This window comes from Homo sapiens, chromosome 6 (genome assembly GCF_000001405.40).
Source record: "Homo sapiens chromosome 6, GRCh38.p14 Primary Assembly".
Taxonomy (NCBI): domain Eukaryota; kingdom Metazoa; phylum Chordata; class Mammalia; order Primates; family Hominidae; genus Homo; species Homo sapiens.
This window is the reverse complement of record NC_000006.12, coordinates 29824951-29847369: the sequence shown is the minus strand read 5'-3', so window position 1 is coordinate 29847369 and position 22419 is coordinate 29824951. Positions and strand designations below refer to the sequence as shown.

At 44.1% G+C, this 22419-nt stretch overlaps 1 protein-coding gene and 2 pseudogenes across 7 annotated transcripts, besides 1 other annotated feature; 2 read left to right on the top strand and 1 right to left on the bottom strand.

Moving 5' to 3' along the window:
* Positions 1210-2409: an enhancer, noted in NCBI's record as "P300/CBP strongly-dependent group 1 enhancer chr6:29812738-29813937 (GRCh37/hg19 assembly coordinates)". NCBI's record gives its function as "activates an origin of replication core promoter dependent on BRD2, BRD4, P300/CBP, MED14 and CDK7 cofactors, with strong dependence on P300/CBP, by STARR-seq in HCT116 cells {active_cell/tissue: HCT116}" and the evidence as "EXISTENCE:reporter gene assay evidence [ECO:0000049][PMID:35650434]".
* Positions 12242-13782, top strand: HCGVIII-2 (HCGVIII-2 pseudogene; annotated as a pseudogene).
* HLA-G (major histocompatibility complex, class I, G) lies at positions 16349-20896 on the bottom strand. 7 transcript variants are annotated; one of them, NM_001384280.1, is made up of 9 exons: positions 20823-20896; positions 20326-20367; positions 19453-19534; positions 19054-19323; positions 18552-18827; positions 17677-17952; positions 17438-17554; positions 16960-16992; positions 16349-16602 (listed from the first exon to the last, which is right to left on the bottom strand). In NM_001384280.1, exons 2-8 carry the CDS (start codon positions 20329-20331, stop codon positions 16988-16990), a joined length of 1032 nt encoding a protein of 343 aa, NP_001371209.1. In that variant the 5' UTR covers positions 20332-20367; positions 20823-20896; the 3' UTR covers positions 16349-16602; positions 16960-16987. The 7 variants fall into 7 exon arrangements, with proteins under 7 accessions (NP_001371209.1, NP_002118.1, NP_001350496.1 ...); NM_002127.6 differs by lacking the exon at positions 20823-20896 and having other exon boundaries at positions 19453-19637; positions 20326-20403; NM_001363567.2 differs by lacking the exon at positions 20823-20896 and having other exon boundaries at positions 20326-20403.
* HCG4P8 (HLA complex group 4 pseudogene 8) lies at positions 20256-21241 on the top strand (annotated as a pseudogene).

Below are 22419 nucleotides of genomic sequence, written 5' to 3'. Positions count from 1 at the left end.
GAGGATGGGGAGGAGGCTTTGTGCAGAACAGGAACCGTGGAGCTGGATGCACACTCAGTAATGAGACAGCCCTGCCAGGGGTCCTGGGGCTGCCGGTTGTTCTGGGTGCTCAGTGTCCAGAGAGGAGGATGGGGAGGAGGCTTTGTGCAGAACAGGAACCGTGCCCCATAACTCATTTTATTCTGCGTTCGCCTTTTTGTCATAAAACACAGGTGACATAAAAGAAAAAAAATCTTAAAATGGTGACCTTTAATCAACAGTAAACACTCTTTAACCATCAGAAAGAGAGAGAAGTTTGTCAGCTGACCTAGAAGCCCCATCAATTGACCCAGTTCAATAGTAAATTTTTATTTTTTCAAATAAAAATCAATCACATCCTGACTTTTGTGGTCCTCACTTCTTTGTTCTATTTTATATTTTCATCATCCCAAATGATAGTTTAGTTTTACCTTTAAAAATAAGTTTTTTGTTCTTATTTGTTCTATAGGTTATCCCTTTGAAATTAATATTGTCTGGTAGAGTTTCCTGTTGTTTGTATTTTGTGGATTGCACCCCAAACTATGGTTTAATATGCATCTCTATTACCTGCATTTTCTAGAAATTTGTAGTTTGGTATAGAGGTTTGCATCTATTCAGATTTTTTTCCCCGTGAGTTTTGGTGGTACTATATCATGTTTTTCAACAAGGGGAAGAGTTTAATACTGGTTATTTCCCTTTGGTGATGAAAATTGTCATTGCTGTTCAGTGGCTAGATCTGTTCATTCATTACGGATGGCAAAGAGTTGTAGTCTCAGTCTTCCATTTCTTTTCATGTATTATTTGAATAATTTGTAAAATAAGAGACTTACCCCCTTCTACTATTTACCTATTATAGGAAAATCACTTTTAATTAATTAGATGTGAAAATTCTAAGAAAAATATTAGTAGACTGTATTAACCAATGTGTTATAAACAGACTGTCTTGACCAAGGTATATAGCCCAAGAATGCAAGGATATTTAAACTTTAAACCTTTTAATGCATTTTGCCACTTAATTAAAGAATAAAAAACAGAGATGATGTTATTTTACTAGATTAAGAAATTATTCTAGATGAAATTCAGCACTCCATCTGACCCATATTTCTCCAGTCATCTCCAGGTTAAAGAAATCATGCAATCAGATTGGGGCCACTCAAATAATACAAAATAATCTCCACATCTAAAGGTCCATGCTCTTAATCATATCAGCAAAGTCCCTTTTGCTGTGTAAAGTAACATATCTAAATGGTCTGCGTCTTAGGGCTTGGACATATGTGTGAGGCCATTATTTTGGATTCCACAGTGTATATGGTGGTTGAATGAGGTTTAATTTAATTCTTCTCTAATTAAATTCCTAGAAGAAGAGAAGTGAGTAAATGGAAAGAGGCATTCCAGAAAGAGGTTATCTTAAAATATTAAGGAAATGTATTATTGTAAATAAAGTCTTGATGCCACAAAGAAATAGCACTCAAATATAAAATTTTCTTTTTTTCTTCTCAGCAAGGCAATTACTTCTATACAAGGGTGTGCCCTCACAGATGGAGCAATGGTGAGCACACCCCTGGACAAGGAAGGGGAAGGGGTTCTTATCCCTGATGCACGTGGCCCCTGCTGCTGTGTTATTCCCCTATTGGCTAGGGTTAGACCGCACAGGCTAAACTAATTCAGATTGGCTAATTTAAAGAGAGTGAAACAGGTGATCAGAATGAGTCAGGGTGGTGCAGGTAACTGGAATGAGTCAGGCTGGGGCAAGTAATCAGGATGAATCAGGGTGGAGCAGGTAATCAGAATGAGTCAGGGTGGAGCAGGTGACTGGAATGAGTCAGGGTGGAGCAGGTAACCAGAATGAGTCAGGCTGGAGCAAGTAATCAGGATGAGTCAGGGTGGAACAGGTGATCAAAAAAGGTTGCTTTATGAGGAAGTTAAGTTTAAAAGTAGAGGGCAAAGAATTGAACATACTGACATGTTAATTATTTTAAGAGAAATTTAGAACTCATACCTAACAGTATCATAGCACTGTGAATAAAAAGAGATCCACATTTACTCATACTGCACTGGAACAGAAGATGTTAAAGAGAAACAGATATCTTAAAATTTGCCACAGGAGAAACACAGATCCTCTAAGAAGCAACTGGTTAAAATGTAACTGACTATCCCCTGTCAGCCACAGCAGCCAGAAGCAACATAATCATCAAAGATCTGAGAGAAAACCAATGTCAAACTAGAAATTTGCAGCTGACAAATCTCTCTTTGATGAATAAAGGTAAAACAAAACATTATCATATAAATGAAACTGTTGCACTGTCTCCATAATACCCAATTTCAAAATATCTACAAGAACAGAGAAATATGTAAGAACAAAAGAGAGAAAGAAAGCATAAATTTTAATTTGTAATCTTTGGTATATGTAACTCAGTACTGTCATAAAATATTAATAATGTAGCTTTCAAAGAAAAAAGTCATGTAAAATACATAACATGCTGTGCTATAATTTCTTTATTTATCTTCCCACCCCCACCTTTGACTTCTATGAAGTCCAAGGAAGTTTGAGTCTTTTATCTGAGGCTCAACTCCATAGAGCACAGTACCCAGAATAAGGTAGGTGCTTAATGATGTTTACCATTTGAATGAGTTTCCTGGAAGTACTTAGCAGATCAGGAATTCTGATGCATAAGCACAATTCAAAGGTGGCTGAGGAGTGACATCAGAGAACATAGTGGCATAGGAACTCCAAGGGCCACCTCTGCACAGAGACAATGTGCTTGTAAAACATCACTATAAAAAAAAATCCCTTGGCTGGGCATGGTGGCTCATGCCTGTAATCCCAGCACTTTGGGAGGCCGAGGTGGGGGGATCACCTGAGGTCAGGAGTTCGAGACCAGACTGATCAACATGGAGAATCCCAGTCTCTACTAAATATACAAAATTAGCTGGGTGTGGTGGCTCGCGCCTGTAGTCCCAGCTACTCGGGAGGTGAGGAAGGAGAATCGCTTGAACCCGGGAGGCAGAGGTTGCAGTTAGCCGGGATCATGCCATTGCACTCCACCCTGGGCAACAAGAGCAAAACTCCATCAAAAAAAAAAAAAAAAAATTCCCTCGGAGAGCTGTTAAAGCAAGAATTCCTGGACCTACCACCAGATATTCTGATTGGGTTGATAAAGAATCAACTGCATTGGAACCCTGAAAAATCATCAAAGGTTTATTGCAACCTAGCAAGTCCAGAAAAATCAACTGGAACTCAGGAGCAGAGCTTTGTGGCACCATATCTTACCCTTGGCCCATTCCTCCCTGTTCAAGTCAGTAGTGATCTTGAAGACAGCAGCCTGGTTCCTTAGTGTGGGCTCCAATGCCAGTGGGAGCCGAGTGGACCATGTTCTCAAAGTGTTGTGGTTGTCTACCTTTTCCTGTTGGGTGACTCCGTGAAGGATGATAAGAAATGGCTTACATTGGGCTGGGCATGGTGACTCATGCCTGTAATCACAGCACTTTGGGAAGCTCAGCTGGGTGCATTTCTTGAGTTCAGGAGTTTGAGACCAGCCTAGACAACATGGTGAAACTCCATTTCTACAAAAAATACAAAAATTAACTGGGCATTATGGCATGTGCCTGTAGTCTCAGCTACTCAAGAGGCTGAGGTGGGAGGATTGCTTAAGCCCAGGAGGTTGAGGCTACAGTGAGCCAGGATCGTGCAACTGCACTCCAGCTTGGGCTTCAGAGCAAGACCTTGTCTAAAAAAAGAAAAAAAAGAAAGAAAAAGAAAATAAATGGTTTGCATTTATTTTCCCTACTCAGAACTCTCTTAGGTCACAGAGGCAGAGGGCATCTGCTAAAACCATTTAAGTGCCACTGAACCAGCAGCTGCCCCCTTGGGGCAAAAATATATTACATGAGAAAGGTAATAGACATACAGAAAAGCCTGGAGGAGAAACTGGGTGAGTGAGATGGGAATATGGGTTTTGAAAAGCTTCCATATCCCTGGGAATCTGTATAGCCTCCTCCATGACCAGTATGTCGCACAGACTCACAAAGCACCTGAGAATGCCCTGTGTTCACACCTCTTGCTAACTTTCAATATCTGCACAAGTAGGAAATGAAGGCCAAAGCAGTATTGTAAACTGCCCAGCAGAGTGTTGAGGGCATGCCCCAAAACACACAGAGAGCCCAGATAAAAAGATTGAATTTTCTTTTCTTATTTCTTTTTGGCTGAAGATGTTTCAGGAAATATCTATCAAATCATGAGTTGACCACTAAGCTTACAGAATAGAGACTTCAGTGATGACACACAATAAAGAATACAGTCTATACAAAAATAGTTTAGAAAACATGATTTTCAAAGTCACCACATGTTAGTATTCAAAATAAAAATGAGGTATGCAATTAAACTAGACAGTAAGACCCATTCTCAAGAAAAAAGAGGAATTGACAGAAACTGTTCCTGAGAAAGGCCATTGAACATACTTACTGGACAAACAACTTTGAATTGACTGCTTAAATATGTTCACAGAGCTAAAGGAAACTATGGGCAAAAAACTAAAGGAAATCAGAAGAACTATCTTAACTCAAATAGAGAACATCAATAAAAAGATAGAAAGTTTAAAAAGAAACCAAATAGAAATTTTGGAGCTGAAAAGTGCAATAACTGAAATGAAAAATTTACTAGAGTAATTTTACTATTTTTTACTATATTTTACTAGAGTAAATTTACTATTTACTTTTTTACAAAAGCAACTTTCACTATGCAGAATGAAGAATCGGCAAGCTTAAAGGTAAGACAATTGAAATTATCCAGTTTGAGGTGCAGAAATAAAAAAAAATTATGAAGAAAAATGAACAGAACTTAAGAAAACTGTGAGACAACACCAAGCATATGCATTTTGGGAATCCTCAAAGAAAGGAGAGAGAAAAAGAAGAATGGCTATTTGGAGGAATAATAACTTCAAATCTCCTAAATTTGATGAAAAATATAATTTTACTCATCCAACAAACTTGATACATTTTAAGCAGCAAGAATTTTAGAAGTCCACACTGAGAGACGTTATAATCAACCAGTCTACACCAATGACAAACAGACCATCTTGAAAGCAATAACAGAGAAGGAACTTTTCAGGTACAATGGATCCTCAATAAGATTAACATACAAATTTTCATCAGAAACCATGGGGTTCAGGAGGCGTTGGGATGACAAATTTAAAGCTGAGAAAGTAAAAGGACTATCAACCAAGAATTGTATGTCTGCAAAACTCTCCTTCAGAAATGATGGAGAAATCACGACATTCACAGGTTAAAAAAAGCTGACTGAGATTGTCTCAACCCTACAAGACATATATATATACACACACACACATATATATATTTGTAATTCCTCTCTTGTTTTTCCTATTTGATTTAAAAGAAAATGTCCATCGACCAATGAATGGAGAAACAACATATAGTTTTTTCCTACAATAGAATATTATTTGGTCATAAAATGAATAAAGCACTGGCATATGCTAAAACATTGCTGAATCTTGAAAACAAGACAAGTGAAGGAAGCCAGTCACAGGAGGCTACGTAACTTATGAGCCCATTTTTGTGAAATATTCATAAGAGGCAAGTCGATAGAGAAAGAAGTGGATTTGTGGCGACAGGGTCTGCTGGCAGGTGGAAATGGAGGGTGACTGCTTAATGGGTGCAGAGTTCCCCCTGAGGTGATAAAAACACTCTGGAACTAGAGAGTGATGATGGTTACATAACATTGTGAACATACGAATTGTCACTGCATTGTGCACTTTAAATGGTTACGGTGGTATCCTTTGTGTTTATGTGTATTTTACCACAATGAAAAAGAGGCTGAGGAAGGTATTCCAAAATCTTTTGTATAGTAAACTCCTGAGTTTGCTTGAGAATCTGCCTATCTGTCTTTTCTTCTCAGGACATCATCTCCTACCCAGAGCAAACCTTTGTTCTTCTGCAAGTAGAAAGCCCTCTTTCAGAACATTGTCCAAGATCAGCCAGGCCCAACCCTCAAAATGACTTTCTGTCTTTGACCCAAATGCTCAAATGCAACTCTGGGGCTAATTTCAGTGGGAGTAAGAGATTATCCAATCAGGATAATTCATTTGGAGAGAAAATGTTTTGCTTAAGTCAGCAAAGTCCTTTGCTTTCCTAAAAAGGATCCTGCTTACCAGTGAGTACAGAGTTTTTGTACATTTGAGGTGGAGTTCTCAGCAGAGTAATTAAAGATATCTGTAGAAACACCACACACATTATGTGTAGCTGACTGATTCACCCCTCTGCCACCCCCAATTGAAGGAAGGAGCTGTATTCTTATCTTGGCCCATCCATCAACTGAATGCCGCTGGACATGGAACATTACAAGTGTGAAGCTTCCAGGGTTCTCAGTTGCTCTTCCTGCTGTTGTGGAGACTCCATTGGTGTGGCTCACATCCAGGCAGGCCTGCAGGAAGCTGTTTCCTAATTCTCAAGGCCAACATTTTCAGTGAACCCATACCAAAACCCTAGGTTCTCAGGGACTCAGATTTTCATCTGTGGAAGAAAAGAATCCATCTCACTCTCTCAGGTGTGATGGTAATTATATATATTATAATATAATATATATATACATAATTATAATTTATATATCTATAAAAGAGATAATCAGTATTCCATAAATTGATGATATTCTCAGTGTTGACTTCATTGCCCAGGTGAACACTGTAACAGAAGGATGAGTCATGGATTGTAGAGGAACAATATTTTTTTTACTCTCTGGAGGAGCCATCAGTAGGCATTTCTGCCATATGGACTTCAAATGAGAAATTTGTTTTAGGTTGAGATTGGAAGGAGATCTGAACTTCTTTTTATTATTATTATTTTAAATATGAGGTCTCACTATGTTCTCCAGGCTGGAGAGCAGTGACTATTCACAGGTGTGACCATAGCCTCAAATTCGTGAGCTCGAGCCATTCTCCTATCTCAGCCTCCTGAGTAGCTGGGACTACAGGTGCCCACCACAGTGTTCAGCCACTTTTCATTGTTATTTTACTTCAAATGTTTTATTTTGAATGTTAAAAATACATGTTTCTACATTAGAAATATGAAAATGTATTTGATTACAGAAGAATTTAAAATGCACACATCAACACCTGGTTGAATTTTAAAGAAAAAAAAATGCAGAGAAGAAAGAAATATCACCCAGGCTTCCCCTCCAAAGAACCACTGCTATCATATTATTGAAACTTCCTGGACTGCAGTGTGAATGGTCATCCCTGGAGCTATCTTCTGCAGTGATGCTGACTTCCATTCTTTTGTTTTCTATGTATATATTTTTATATATGCTTTCATTGTAGAAAGTTGCATTCATAAGTTTTGGGGTTTTTTTTAAGATGGAGTCTCACTCTGTCCCCCAGGGGCTGGAGTGCAGTGGCATGATCTCGGCTCACTGCAACCTCTGCATCTCGGATGCAAGTGAGTCTTCTGCCTCAGCCCCTCGAGTAGCTGGGATTACAGATGTGCACTACCACGCCTGGCTAATTTTGTGTTTTTAATATAGATGGGGTTACACTTGTTGGCCAGGCTGGTTTTGAACACCTGACCTCAAGTGATCCACCCACCTTGGCCTCCCAGAGTGGTTGTGGGTTATTTTGAAGTTGCTTTTTGAATGTATTATTATGAAAGTAGTTTTCCATGTCATAAAGTCTGCATAAAATTTACACACTTCTAGAAGCTGCATCCCATCTCAAACAAGGAGAAGTCACCAGGGTTCTTTTAGATCCATGTGCTTTCATCTTGTCTTTTGGTAAAGAATATTTTGACAAGCATGTTTGTACATGAAGATTCTTCTATGGTTGTGATTTTAAAAATTCATAGAACACTCAGGATGGACATGGTGGCTCATGCCTGTACTTCCAGCACTTTGGGAGGCTCAGGCTGGCAGATTGCTTGAGCCCCTGAGTTTGTGACCAGCCTAGGCAACATAGAGAAACCCTGTCTCTACAAAAAATTCAAAAGAATTAGCCGGGCTTGGTGGCACATGCCTGTAGTCCCAGCTACTTGGGTGTCTGAGGTGGGAGGGTTGCTTAAGCCTGGAAGATTCAGGCTGCAGTGAGCCATGAACAACACTGCACTCCAGCCAGCAAGCCCAATCTCAAAAAAATAAATTATAGACTACTCAAATTGTAAGTATTAAACCAGTGTCTGTGAGAGTTTTTCTGGAAGGGATGTGAGTGGGTGGACTGGTGGGGAAGATGCTCTCTCACTGTGGGCAGCCACAGTCCAATCACCTAGTGGCCCAGATAGAACAGAAAGGTAGATAGAAGTAAAATTTCTCTCTGTCTCTGTCTCTCTGTCTCTCTCTGTCTCTGTCTCTCTCTCTGGAACTGGGGCTGGGACACCCTTCTTCTCCTGCCTTGGACATCAAAACTCCAGGTTCGATGATCTTTGGACTCTGACTTTTGCACCAGTGAGCCCCTTTATCCTCCTGTTCTGTATTCTGGGTCCTCAGGGCTTTGACTTTGGACTGAGCCACGCTACTGGCTTTTCTAGTTCTCCAGCTTCCAGACAGTCTATCATGGGACTTCTCAGCCTCCATAATTGTGTGAGCCAATTAGCCCAATAAATCACCTATCTATCTGTCTGTCTATCTATCTATCTATCTATCTATCTATCTATCTATCTATCTATCATCATCTAACATCTATCTATCATCTATCATCTATCTATCTATTATCTATCTATCATCTATGTACCTATGCTATTGGTTCTTTCTTTCTTGGTAACCTTAATAAATCAACAGACAATAAACAAATAAAACCTGTCATAGTATCACTGATAATTGCCATTAAGAAAAATATGCTTGGGTTAGAAGATTGGTGGCGGTGGTGGGAATGGCAGGGGATAGATTTCAGAAGAGGTCACTGGACAAGACATTTCTGAACACTTGACCATGGGACATTTAAGCAGGGACCTTAATGGTGTGAGGAGTGAGCCATGTGGATCACTGGGCAGCACATGCATGTGGGAGTCACAGCAGGGGCAGGTGGTAGAGACAGGGTGGAGTAGACAAGAAACTGGTGTGAGTGGAGAAGAATGAGCTAGGCTGAGAGTAATGGGATGAGGCCAAAGTGGCCAGAGGGGACCCTGTGATAAGGAGTGCATAGGAAATGGTGGGAAACTGGGGTTTCCTTGTGCCTAAGAAGGGAAGGAGCTGGAGCGTTCATAGGATATGCCCTAATTCCCATTGGAAAGGCACGCTCTCTCTGTTGTGTGGGTGATGGACAGTGGGCATGAGAGTCAGCAGGCAGCCCAGCTGGAAGGCCCTTCCGGTTTTCTATCCTAGTGAGGATGGTTCTGGGGTGGAGGTGGCAGAGGAGTGAGAAGTGATTGGATTTGGTGTTGATATATATTTTTAAAATTGTGGTAAAACACACATACTATACGATTTACCTTCTAACAATTTTTTTCAGTGTACAATTCATTGGCATTAAGCACATTTACAATTGATGGTGGTTACACAAACACCAACATGCATTTTCAGAACATTTTCATCATCCCAACAGAGACTGTACCCATTAAATGACAGCTGCCCATTGTTCCTGCCTTCAGCCCCTGGTAACCTGTATTCTACTTTCTGTTTTTGTGAATTTGCTTATTCTAGGTGCCTCATATAAGTGAAATATCATATTTGCCTTTTTTTTGGCTTATTTTATTTAGCGTGTTTTCAAGGTTCCATCCAATCCAAATATTCTTCACTTTTAAGGCTGATTAATATTCCATGTGTATATGCACCACATTTTGTTTTTCCAATCATCCTCTGATGGACACTTGGGTTGCGTCCACCTTTTGGCTATTGGGAATAGCACTGCTATGAGCATGACTGTACAATTATCTGTGTGCATACCTGCTTTCAATTTTTGGGGGGTATACACCCAAAAGTGGAATTGTTGCTTCATATGGAAATTCTATGTTTACCTTCTTGAGAAAGCGTCATCCTGTTTCCATGATGGCTGCACTGTTGTTCACTCTCAGCAGCAGTGCACAAGCATTCCATTTTCTCCACATCCTCACCAACACCTGGACTAGTGAAGCTGAGCATATTTTCATGTCCTTATTGGAATTCCTTATTTTTATGTCCTTACTGTGTATCTTCTCTGGAGAATTGTCTATTCATGTCTTTTACCCATTTTTGAATGAGATTGTTTTGCTATTGTTAAGTTGTAGTTCTGTATGTAGTCTGGATATTAATTCTTTATCAGATATGTGATTGGCAAATATTTTATCTTATTCTATGCAGTTTCTTTTATTTTCACTTTTTTTTTTTTTTTTTTTTTTTTTTTTTTTTTTTTTTGAGACGGAGTCTCTCTCTGATGCCCCAGCTGGAGTGCAATGGTGCAATCTCAGCTCATTGCAACCTCTGCCTCCCAGGTTCAAGCGATTCTCCTGCCTCAGCCTCCCGAGTAGCTGGGATTACAGGTGCCCACCACTGCGCCCGGCTAATTTTTGTATTTTTAGTAGAGACAGGGTTTTGCCATGTTGGCCAGGCTGATTTCGAACTCCTGACCTCAGGTGATCCACCCACTTTGGCCTCCCAAAGTGCTGGGATTACAGGCGTGAGCCACTGCGCCTAGCCTCTTTTCACCTCTTAATAGCGTCCTTTGATGCAAAAAAGTTTTTACATTTTGATGAAGTCTTATTTGTCATTTTCCTTTTATTGCTTGTACTTTTGGTCACCAGCCAAGAAACCACTACCAATTCTAATGACCATAAGACTTTCCCTCAGTATTTTCTTTTAAGAGTTTTACAGGTTTAACTCTTAAGATTAGTTCTTTAAGGCATTCTGACTTAATTTTTGAAAAGGGTGTAATGGAAGGGCATAAATTTTGTCCAGCATCATTCTTTTGCATGTGGATATCCAGGTTTCCAGCACCATTTGTTGATGCACCATCTGTTGCAGTGGGGCTGACACATTTGTAAGATGCAATGAGCACGAATACATGGGAGCACCATGAATTTATTTACATGTCTTTACTTCACAGTTGTTTTGAGGAGGCTTTCACTGAGAAACCTAACAGAAATGAATACATATGACTTCCTATAAAATGAAATTTAAGTAAAATTATACTTTTTAAAATGTTAAGACTGGAGCAAGACTGGAACATCACCAGACAAACAGAAACATAGGCTGAAATGAAGGGTTTATGTTTATCTTGCTACAAATTCTGTTGGCCCACAATCTCTTATGCTTATTGCATAAGAGAGCCACAGAGTGGGGTGATAGCTCAAATAACCAGTCCCTGGTTTTCTGCTTCAGAAACAAGTTTAAATTCTCTGCTTAGACAAAGTAAAGAAAATAATTGAAAGATGTTGAATGTGAAGTTGGCATCTACAAAGTCAAAGAAGTGAGTAGTAAATGTAAACATCAGGAATCCAAGGAGATTCTATCTTTTTACACAGAAATGGCCTCACTATGCACTGCTGAAGGGAGAAGGTCCCTCCAGGAGAACTTCATGATGAGGAAAAACCCAATATGATGTAGGGGTTTTCTGCTGCAGCCCTAAATTGAATTGTCCTTCGCTCTAAATACAGGTCTCACAAAGTTTTATGTCTTCAATGATTTCACCTGGGCCGAGATTTTGTTTTGTTTTTGGTGTTGTTTGTTTTGAGCTGCTGCCTGGGGCTTAGAAAAGTGACTTGGATATTTTGCCAAAGTTGTATTTCTTTGATGGAATTCGAAATCCATGAACACTCTGCTTTCCTGCTGTATTCCCAGAGCGGGTTGAGTACCTTGCACTTCTTTTCAGCACTTCCCTAGAAGTGGTAGAAGATTTGGAGTTAGGGCCTCCCTCAATCTCTGCCCTTTCTTTAATTCAGAGGATCACAAACTGTTGGGGGAAGAGTGGTATCTTGGGCCCCCAGTTGATCGGATGAATATTAATATCCAATGTCCTGTAATGAAGTCATGTGTGCATGTAACATCACTTCTGCACGCAGTGTCATGGGAAAGTGGGTTCGCGGACCCCAGGTTAAAAGCCTAAGCACTAAATGCACAGAGCTAGAGCTCTAGGAGGGGCGGGATGGCTGGGGTGGAACGTCATCTTGTCCTTTAGTCCTGGGGCATTTTCACTCCTCACATGGTGGGTGCTGGGCATCTGGCAGGTACTGATGTTGATGGAGTCGAGGGAGGGTACTGGCCGGAACTGGGAAAAACAGGGTTGGGGAGATAATTAAGGTGAACATTATTTTTTCTGAGTGTAAGTCATGGCTTGAAATCTGGAGAGCCTGAAGGAGATCCCGCTACCTAAACCCGTTTTCCTTTTCCCTCAAGCCTCATTTGGCCACAGGCCCAGTGTCAACACCAGGGGGCGCCACAGACCATGAAGGCACCGCGCAGCTGGGATTGTTTGTGGTGGGCTCCTGGGTCCCTGACTTAACCAGGGAAGCCAAGACCCTGCAGCCAGGTGGCCTGGATTCAACCTTCAGCTCTGGTCCTACTGACACTTTTCTTCCTGGTGCCTCAGTTTCTTAATCTGTGAAATGGTGAGGACATTACAGCACTTACCTCTCGGGCGGGTTTCTCAACAGCAGCCCTATTAAGAATTTGAGACAGAGAATCCCTTGTGGTCTGTCCTGTGCATTGTGGGAGGTTTGCCAGCAGCACCCCACTCACCCCCTCCCACCAATCCCCACGTGACAACCGAAAATGTCCCAGGATTTTTAGGTCTCCCTTGGGTCTAGAGCTGCATTTAGTCAAGCATTTTCCCACCTGACATTTGAGCTCATCTCTGCTTTGGTCCACATAAGGCCACTTTAAAAAGATGTTGTTTCTTTAAAGATTCTAACCATCTTTTAAACAAATCTATTTTCTTCCTTTATTTCTGCATTCAGTTAATCCTTCCAAACCCTTGGTTTAGTATATCTCAAAATGTATCAACTCCAGTTCTAGTAATTAACATATGTGACTTGCATGATATCTGCTATGACCCCTAGTAGAGTTCTGATTCCTTTAGCACAGGGAATGTGTTCTCGATTCTGCTCTGGATGATGTAAATCAATTTATTTTACTTTACTTGTCTGGGATGTTGCTCCTCACCTGTAAAATGTAAATGTGGATATGGCTTGGATTACTAAGTGGTTTTATTTCTTCATTCACCTGACATTTGTTGTGTACCTGCTGCAAGTCAAATACATGGTATGATATTGTTTCCTTGTTCACACCACAGCAAATGAGAAAATGAGACATTATAGCCAGGTGTGGCGGCACAGGCTTCTCGTCCTAGCTACTCAGAAGGCTGAGGCAGGAGAATTGCTTCAGCCCAGGAGTTTGAGGTTACAGTAAGGTCTGATATCACCATTGCATTTCAACCTGGGCAACAGACCCTGTCTCTGAAAAAAAGGAAAAAGACACTGTGAGCTGTCTACATGTACTCTATGTCTCAGGAGACTCATGTGCTGTAATTTTTCTAAATGGCATCTCCATGTGGTCTTTCATGAATGTTTGTCTGGTATTTCTTTTCTATCTTTTTACTTTCAACTTTTCTGTACCTTCTACTGAAATTATGGCTTTTGTAAATAGCCTACGGTTATTTATTTATTTACTTATTTATTTTTATCCCTCTGCACTATTTGTCTTGTAATTGGAGTGTCTGAGTCCATTACGTTTAATGTCATTGTTGACCTCATTGGGTTTAAGTCTGTCCATTTTCATTTACTGCCTTCTAATATTATCTTTCTTGCTCAACTATTTTTCTTCTGTTGCCTTCTTTAGATGAATAAAAAACTTTGCATTATTGTGGTCTTCTCAGTAAGTGTTCTAGTTACAAATTCTCTTATTATTTCTTTAATTATCTGAGAAAGCACAATAATCTGTGACTTATTATAACCAACAGCAGACCATAACTTCCCTGACTTTCACCTACCTGTGCAGACAGCACAGGGGAGAATCAATGCTCTGGCTCTGAGACACAGGGGTGGTGGAAGTAGGATAGTGATTGGATGATGAATCTGTAGCTGCAGAGGCATCTGGGCCCCTCACCTTCATTCCTCGTAGATGTCACCTCCACTGGATGCCTGCAATGCCCTCTCCTCTGTATGCTCCTGCCAGAGTCTCCCCATCTCCATTGACAGCAGCTCCACCCTTCTGCTCACTCAGTCCAATACTGTGGGTGTCCTTGATTCTTCTTTCTCACACCACAGATAAATCCATTAGCAAGTGCTGTGAATTCATCCAGAATCCCATCACTTCCCACTATTTCCCCTGCTCACACCCCAGTCAAGGTAAGCGACGTCTCCATCCTGGAATACTGCACTCCTTTCCCACCGTTTTTCCCACTGCCTCACTAGTCCCCCACCTCTCAATTCTGTTCTCAGCACAGCAGCCAGAGAGAAGCTTTCAAAGGATAAGTCCTACCATGTCCCACTTTCCAAAACTGTCCTCTAACTCCCCATGTCATTCAGAGCAAAGGTCAACATCCTTCCCACACCCTCCAGGGCAACCTGCTCTGGGCACACCTCTGACTTCATTTCAGTTTCTCTCTGTTCAACACTTCTGGCCTCTTCCTCCTTCCAGGAACACAGACAATTTCCTGCCCTAGTGCATCTGCACTGAAGGTTTCCCTGCCTGAAAAGAACTTTCTGAGACATCCGTGTAGACAACTCCTCACATCCCTCAAATCTTTACTCCAAGGTCACATTTGCAACAAGGCCCATGCTGACCACCCAGCACAACAGCCACCTCCCTGTACCCACAGCCCACCCTCTGGATCACCTGCCACACAGCACTTGCCACCTTCTAACTCAAGCATTTTCTGTTCCTACTCTGCTTATACTATATCATCTGCCTGCAGAGGTGTCCAATCTTTTGGCTTCCCTGGGTCACATAGGAAGAAGAATTGTCTTGAGCCACACAAAAAATACACTAATGACAGCTGATGAGCAGAAAAAAATAGAAAAAAGAAAAAAAATGCATGGATAATTTTCATGATATCTGCCACTACAGATAAGCAAAAAAATCGTCACATTCTAAAGCTGTCCTGGGCCACATGCATCCCGAGAGCTGCAGGTTGGACAAGCTTGCATCTAGAATGTATACACGACAAGGCCAGAAATTTTTCTGTTTTTACTTTAACGATGTTTTCTAAATGCAAAAACAGTCAAATACCTAGCAGACAACAAATGCCACTTGAATGGATGATTACTGTAGTGCGCCCCCCTATTCTAAAGGCAATATCTTTATTAATGTAGACTCAGGCCAAATGTCATTTTGTAGCCGCTGTGGAACAATATTATCTCATGTGGATATAAATGCACCAGTGCTTTTCTCACCAGGGCTGCTTTTGTGTCCTCCCTCCCTCCCTCCTCCCACACCAATCCTCCTGCACACTGCAGCACACAACCATATTTGTCTCTTGAGGAAAGATAACCCAAGGCTTATGGCTCCAATTATCCAACCACATATGAATCTAAATTAGACTCTGCTTTACAAATCCATGAGTTTGGTTTGGAGCCAGCAATAGGATTACTACAACTCAGGGCAGGAAGAAGAGTAGGAGAGAGAGCAGAAGAGGAGTTCCAACAGAAAGTAAACTACAATGAAAAACTCTGGGACCTCTCCTCTCGGGAAGTTTCAGAATCTGCTTCCTTTAAGAAGGTTGGGGAAGCCAGGCATGGTGGCTCACACCTGTAATCCCAGCACTTTGGGAGGCAGAGGCGGGCAGATCACAAGGTCAGGAGATCAAGACCATCCTGGCTAACATGGTGAAATCCCGTCTTTACTAAAAATACAAAAAATTAGCTGGGTATTGTGGCATGTGCCTGTACTCCCAGTTACTAGGGAGGCTGAGACAGGAGAATTGCTTGAACCCGGGAGGTGGAGGTTGCAATGAGTTGAGATTGCACCACTGCACTCCAGCCTGAGTGAGGCTCCATCTAAAAAAAAAAAAAAAAAAAAAGATGGAAAATACAATTGAAAGAGACCTGGAAGGAGGGGAAGAGGTGTAGGGGTCTGAAAATTTTTCTTCTGATAACACAGGAACTTCTACGTGTAGGGACCATCCTAGGTGATATCCAAGTCTATGTGATCACAGGTCCTGGTGGGACAAGGTTCTACTGAAGGGCCAAGGACAATGGAGCAGCAAAGATGACCCAGCTGAGCAGTGACCACATAAAGTTCATGGTGGCCTGAGCACCCACTGGGCGCAGCCCCATCTACTCTCCTCTCCTGCAACAAATCAGCACAAGAAACACGTGTACTGTGGAAAGTTCTCATGTCTTCCATTTATTTTGTCTCTCAAATTTCAGGAATCTTCTCCTTTAATTAACCCATCAATCTCTCTTGGAAATAATTTGAAAAAGTAAATTTATACTCAGATTCTAATTTTAATACAGAAGTAAGTTATAGCTCAGTGGACCACAAATTTGAGACAGAGACGGAGACATCCCAGCCCCTTTTCTGGAACAGGAAAGGTGATTGGGGAAGGAATGCAGTTCAGCATGAGGAAGAGGGTCATGGTGGGCACAGGGGTGGGCTGGTCTCTGCACAAAGAGGAGTCAGGGTTCTTGAAGTCACAAAGGGACTTGCCACTCAGTCCCACACAGGGCAGCTGTTTCACACTACAGAAAAATATTCATGAACAAATTCATATCAGTCACAGTGAGGGGTGACACTTTAAACAGCCCATCACATGCTCAATACATTGAAGTCAAAGAAACCTCATAGCACAGCTATGTCCCCTGTTCCCCTCAACAACCCACACACATCAGGCCCCCCGGGGTGTCACATTTACAAGCCGTGAGAGACACATTAGAGCCCTGGGCACTGTCACTGCCTAGAGTAGAACAAAAACAGCACCTGGTCAGAGACCACAGGAGATGTGGCCAGAGGAGGAATTGTGGGGTGGGTGAGCTCCCCCATGGGCTCCCAAACACAAGATCCCAAGGATCTCAGGGATCAGCCTCCTTCATACTTACTTGCAGCCTGAGAGTAGCTCCCTCCTTTTCAATCTGTGGGAAGAAAATGTCCTGTGAGAGGCCAGAAAGGTGGCAGGGCCATGAGGTCCTAGAGGAACCTCCTAGTCTTGGACCCTCGAGAAGTTTCCAGAAATGTGTGACTGCAGACCCAGGGCGGGATCAGGAAAAACAAGGAAAGCAGATGTGGGTCCTCGACCAACTGCCCTCCTAAGGTCTGTCCTTAGCCAGGGACCTTCTCCTGACCTGTGATTACTGGGATCAGGTCCCCATCACTACAATCATCAAGGTAATAAATCTGTCCTTCATTGTCACAGGTGCTTTACAAAAGAGAAGGTGCTGGCACACAGGGCCCAGGCTGGGTAGGCCCATGAGTGTGGATGGTGCTTCCCAGTAACCAGGCAGGGCACACTTCTACCTGGGGCTTGAAACCCCCAGTGGGACAAGAAAACTCAGACCCCACTTGTCACCCCTTCCTTACCTGAGCTCTTCTTTCTCCACAGCACAGCAGCGACCGCAGCTCCAGTGACTACAGCTGCAAGGACAACCAGGCCAGCAACGATACCCATGATGGGGATGGTGGGCAGGGAAGACTGCTCTGGGAAAGGAGGTGAAGGTGAGGGTCTCTGACCCCCAGCCCTCACCACCGACCCTGTTAAAGGTCTTCAGAGAGGCTCCTGCTTTCCCTAACAGACATGATGCCTCCATCTCCCTCCTTACTCCATCTCAGCATGAGGGGCTCCGGCAGCCCCTCATGCTGCACATGGCACGTGTATCTCTGCTCCTCTCCAGAAGGCACCACCACAGCTGCCCACTTCTGGAAGGTTCCATCCCCTGCAGGCCTGGTCTCCACGAGCTCCACGTCCTGGGTCTGGTCCTCCCCATCCCGCTGCCAGGTCAGTATGATCTCCGCAGGGTAGAAGCCCAGGGCCCAGCACCTCAGGGTGGCCTCATAGTCAAAGACAGGGTGGTGGGTCACGTGTGTCTTGGGGGGGTCTGAAAGGAAGAGTCAGAAAATTCAAGCACTTTGCATCTCTCATGGGACACTCCAGCAGCACCTGGATGTGACCATCCTAAGAATGAACCAGATACCTGGGGTGGGGAAGGGAGCACAGAACCCAGACACCAGCCTGGACACGGGCACCTGGGATAATCTCCTATTCCTTGGAAAGTTCTAGTCTCTGAGCGGGGGAGCAGGGACCTCCGGTTCTGACCTGAGTGGAGGCCAAGGGACTCAGAGGAGCTGGAGTCAGACCCCCACACACATTGAGTGTGAGGCAGAGAACAAGGCCTGAGGGGAAAAGTCCTGGTGCCAAGGCTGCTGTGGGGTCAAAGGGAACCCCTGATCAGTCTTCCAGGGATTGTCTTCCCCTCCACTCCCTCAGAGACTTCATCCCTTAATTGTCCCAGAGAGCAGGACGGACCCTCAGAATCACTCTCTGGTACAGGATCTGGAAACCCAGGAGGATTCCTCTCCCTCAGGACCAGAGGGAGGGCGATATTCTAGTGTTGGTCCCATTTTCCTCCTCTCCTTGTGCTAGGCCAGGCTGAGAGGTCTACAGGAGATCAGGGAGGCGCCCCACTGCCCCTGGTACCCGCGCGCTGCAGCATCTCCTTCCCGTTCTCCAGGTATCTGTGGAGCCACTCCACGCACGTGCCCTCCAGGTAGGCTCTCCTTTGTTCAGCCACATTGGCCGCCTCACACTTGCGCTTGGAGATCTGAGCCGCAGTGTCCGCTGCGGTCCAGGAGCGCAGGTCCTCGTTCAGGGCGAGGTAATCCTTGCCATCGTAGGCATACTGTTCATACCCGCGGAGGAGGCGTCCGTCGGACCCCAGGTCGCAGCCAATCATCCACTGGAGGGTGTGAGAACCTGGCCCCACCCCCTCGGTCAGCCCCGCCCACCGAGCCTCGCCCTCGCCCGGACCCACCCGCGGGGATTTTGGTAAAGGCGCCTTGGGGTTCTCCCAGGTAGAGGGTCTGGGCGGGTCCCGCGGCCTCGGGGTGGATCCCAGACCCGGAGACTCGGGAGTACCCGGGCCGTCCGTGGGGCATGGAGGTGGGGGTCGTGATCTGCTCCCTGGGCCGGAGTTACTCACTGGCCTCGCTCTGGTTGTAGTAGCCGCGCAGGGTCTGCAGGTTCATTCTGTCAGTCTGTGCGTGGGCCTTGGTGTTCCGTGTCTCCTCTTCCCAATACTCCGGCCCCTCCTGCTCCACCCACGGCGCCCGCGGCTCCATCCTCGGACACGCCGAGTCGCTGTCGAACCGCACGAACTGCGTGTCGTCCACGTAGCCCATGGCGATGAAGCGGGGCTCCCCGCGGCCGGGCCGGGACACGGCGGCGCTGAAATACCTCATGGAGTGGGAGCCTGGGGGCGAGGAGGGGTTGAGACCCGCCCGACCCTCCTCCCGGCGCGGCTGCCGAGTCCTGCGCCCCCGCCGGGCCGGCCCCTCCCTCCTCCGCGCAGGGGCTGTTTCCCTCCTGACCCCGCACTCACCCGCCCAGGTCTCGGTCAGGGTCAGGGCCCCCGAGAGCAGCAGGAAGAGGGTTCGGGGCGCCATGACCACCATCCTTGGCGTCTGGGGAGAATGAGTCCGGGTGGGTGAGCGAGGACTTTAGAACCAGGACCGCGGCGACGCTGATTGGCTTCTCTAAAAACCTGTCACCTAATGGGAGTGAGAACTGGGGCCGCCCGGTGAGTATCCAGGAAGAAGGACCCGACACAGGTTAGGAGAAGGAGGAGAGAATCCCCAACGCGGGGCCTCCCCAACCCATACACCGCCTGTGGGGCCTGAGACCCTGAGAGCCACGCTTGAGGCCCTGGGACTTCGCCCTGACCCCGCTACTCTTGTGCCAAGCGTTCTGTCTCAGTGTCTCCCTGAGTCTTGGCCCAGGAGCTGTCTGAGAAACCAGGGAGAAACCCTCGGCAAGGTCCCTGGCCCTCTCCCTTCACTTTTCATCCCGGAATCCCTGTCCCTGAACTGGACTCCCTGCCTCCCACTCCTTGCCTGTCCTCCTGTACTCTTCTAGAAGAAAAATCACCCCAGGGAGCTTGTTGCCAGAGAGTGAGCTCGCCCTGGGATTGTAGGTGTAAAGACAGGGTTTTTTTTCCCCCTTAAATCTGGAAAAGTTGTGCCTGAGTGCATGAGATAGAATAGAGACCAGTTTGCTTTTTGTTTATTAACTATAGTGGGTAGCATAACCTTGGTAACCCCTGAATGATCAGGAATCTAATCGGTAAAAAATGTGACTTTGGCCTGTTGGTATATAAATGCATCTAAAAGCATTACAACACGACTCACAAAGCTCTTAAGTTTCACTTTCCCAGACAGTGTATCTGTGACTCCCGCTTGTTTTATTTTAAATTTACCTTCATTCCGTAGCCCTAAGTTTCCGTGTGAGTCCAGGACATCTCCTCAAGACAAAGTACCACACTATGTTACTATATGTTGCAACCAGGAGCCAGCACAAACTTTATTCACCTCACAGTTGTAAGTGTTCAGTGCAGTCACAATGCCCCTCACTAGTGCTCACGCACTGCCTGTTTTTAGGAAGTATCCACATGTGAGTGGAGTGTATATTTTTTAGGAATACTTAGTATTTTTTAAACCTGATTAACATAAAAAACAATTAGTTTCTAGGCAGACCCACATAAGATATTAAAGGCCAACTGCAAAGAACACCCAGCGAAGCTCTGTAGATGGATGTATTAAAATCTATAAAACAATGTGTTTAAACCTAAGAGTTCTGCTGCTTTGGAATTCTTTCCTCTGCTCCTTTTCCTCACCTCCTGCTCCTCCAGCCCTTCCCTCCGTCCCTCTCATCCCTCAGGCCCTCTTCTCCCCTTAATCCCCACCACCCTCTCACTCCTGAACTGTGGCTCTAGCACTGTTCCATGACCTGCTACATGAGTGTTCTCTCTATAGTGGTCCTGCTACTATGAGTCAGAGTGTGTCATTTCTCCACCTAAAACACTCCAGTGGCTCCACCTCATTCTTGTGAAGCTTCTAGAATGTCAGGCACTTGAGCATATGAGGGCATACCTGGTTCATTGTAGGGACTAAATTATTTTTTCTTGGCTGAATGAATGAATTATGAGTGTATTAAATTGCATCACAGAAAATTATAAAATGTAAAACACTAAAAAAGTTAAAAAAGATTTTATTTTATGTAACTAGTGTGCGTATCAATTCATCAGTTCATTCCAGGAGTCTTTTGAGTCTGTGTATGAATTTTATAAGACTGGGTAACAAATTGTCACAAACATTGGCTTTAAACAGCACCCATTTATTGTATTCATTGATTTATTTTTAGAGACAGAGTCTCCCTCTGTCATCCAGGATGAAGTGCAGTCACATGATCATGGCTCACTGCAGCCTCAAATTCCTGGGCTCAAGGGACCCTCCTACCTCAGTCTTCAGAGTAGCTAGGACTGCAGGCAAGTGCCACCATGCCCAGCTAATTAAAAAGAAATGTAGAGACGAGTGTCTCACTATATTATCCTAGCTGGTCTCAAAGTCCTGGCTGCAAGTGTTCCTCCTGTGTCAGCTCCTCAAATGTTAGGATACAGGTGTGCACTACCACGCCTGGCCAAATAACACTCATTTGTTGTTTATAGTTTCTTAATCAGAAATCTGGGCATGATGTGGATGGAATCTCTGTTCCGGTCTTCCTAAACCTGTGTTTTCATTTTGAATCCTCCTTCAGGCTTATACAGAGGTGGCAGAATGCAGTTTCTGGCAGTTGTAAGACTGAGGTCCCTGTTCCTCACTGGCTGTCACTGTAGAGAACAGGGAGGGCTGCACTCAATGCATGGTGCCCACCAGCGTCCTTTCCTACACAGCCCCTTCATTTTCAAAGCCCACAGTGGAGGAAACCCCTTATGCTGAATCCCTCTCACACTGTGAATCTCTATGCTCAGGAAGAACCCAGTCCTTTCAAGGACTCTCCTTATTAGGACAGTCCAAGCAGGATAAACTCAGCCTAAAGTCAACTAATTGAGGCCCTTAATTATATCTGCTAAATCCCTTCACAGCAGCACCTACATTAGAGTTGGTTGAATAACTGGGGGAAGGTGAATGACCAGGAGCTGGTTGTTGGGAGCCATGATAGAATCAGCCCAGGAAGGGCTGGATCTTCCTTTTGTGTTTAATTTGGACACAGTTGGAAATTGAAGTTCAAGTAAAGTGATCATTGTGAATAGTAATAAAATACATCCTCTTCAGCCGTGGAAATTCTCCTTTCCTTTTAAAACTAAGTTACATGTTTAATATCTTATAGTTAATTTAGACCAGGTGTGGTGGCTCACGCCTGCAATCCTAGCACTGTTGAAGGCAGAGGAAGGCAGATTTGACTCCAGAAGTTCAAGATCAGCCTGGGCAACATGGTGAAACCCCCATCTCTACAAAAAAATTAGAAAATTAGCCAGGCATGTTAATTCATGCCTATAGTCCCAGCTACTCAA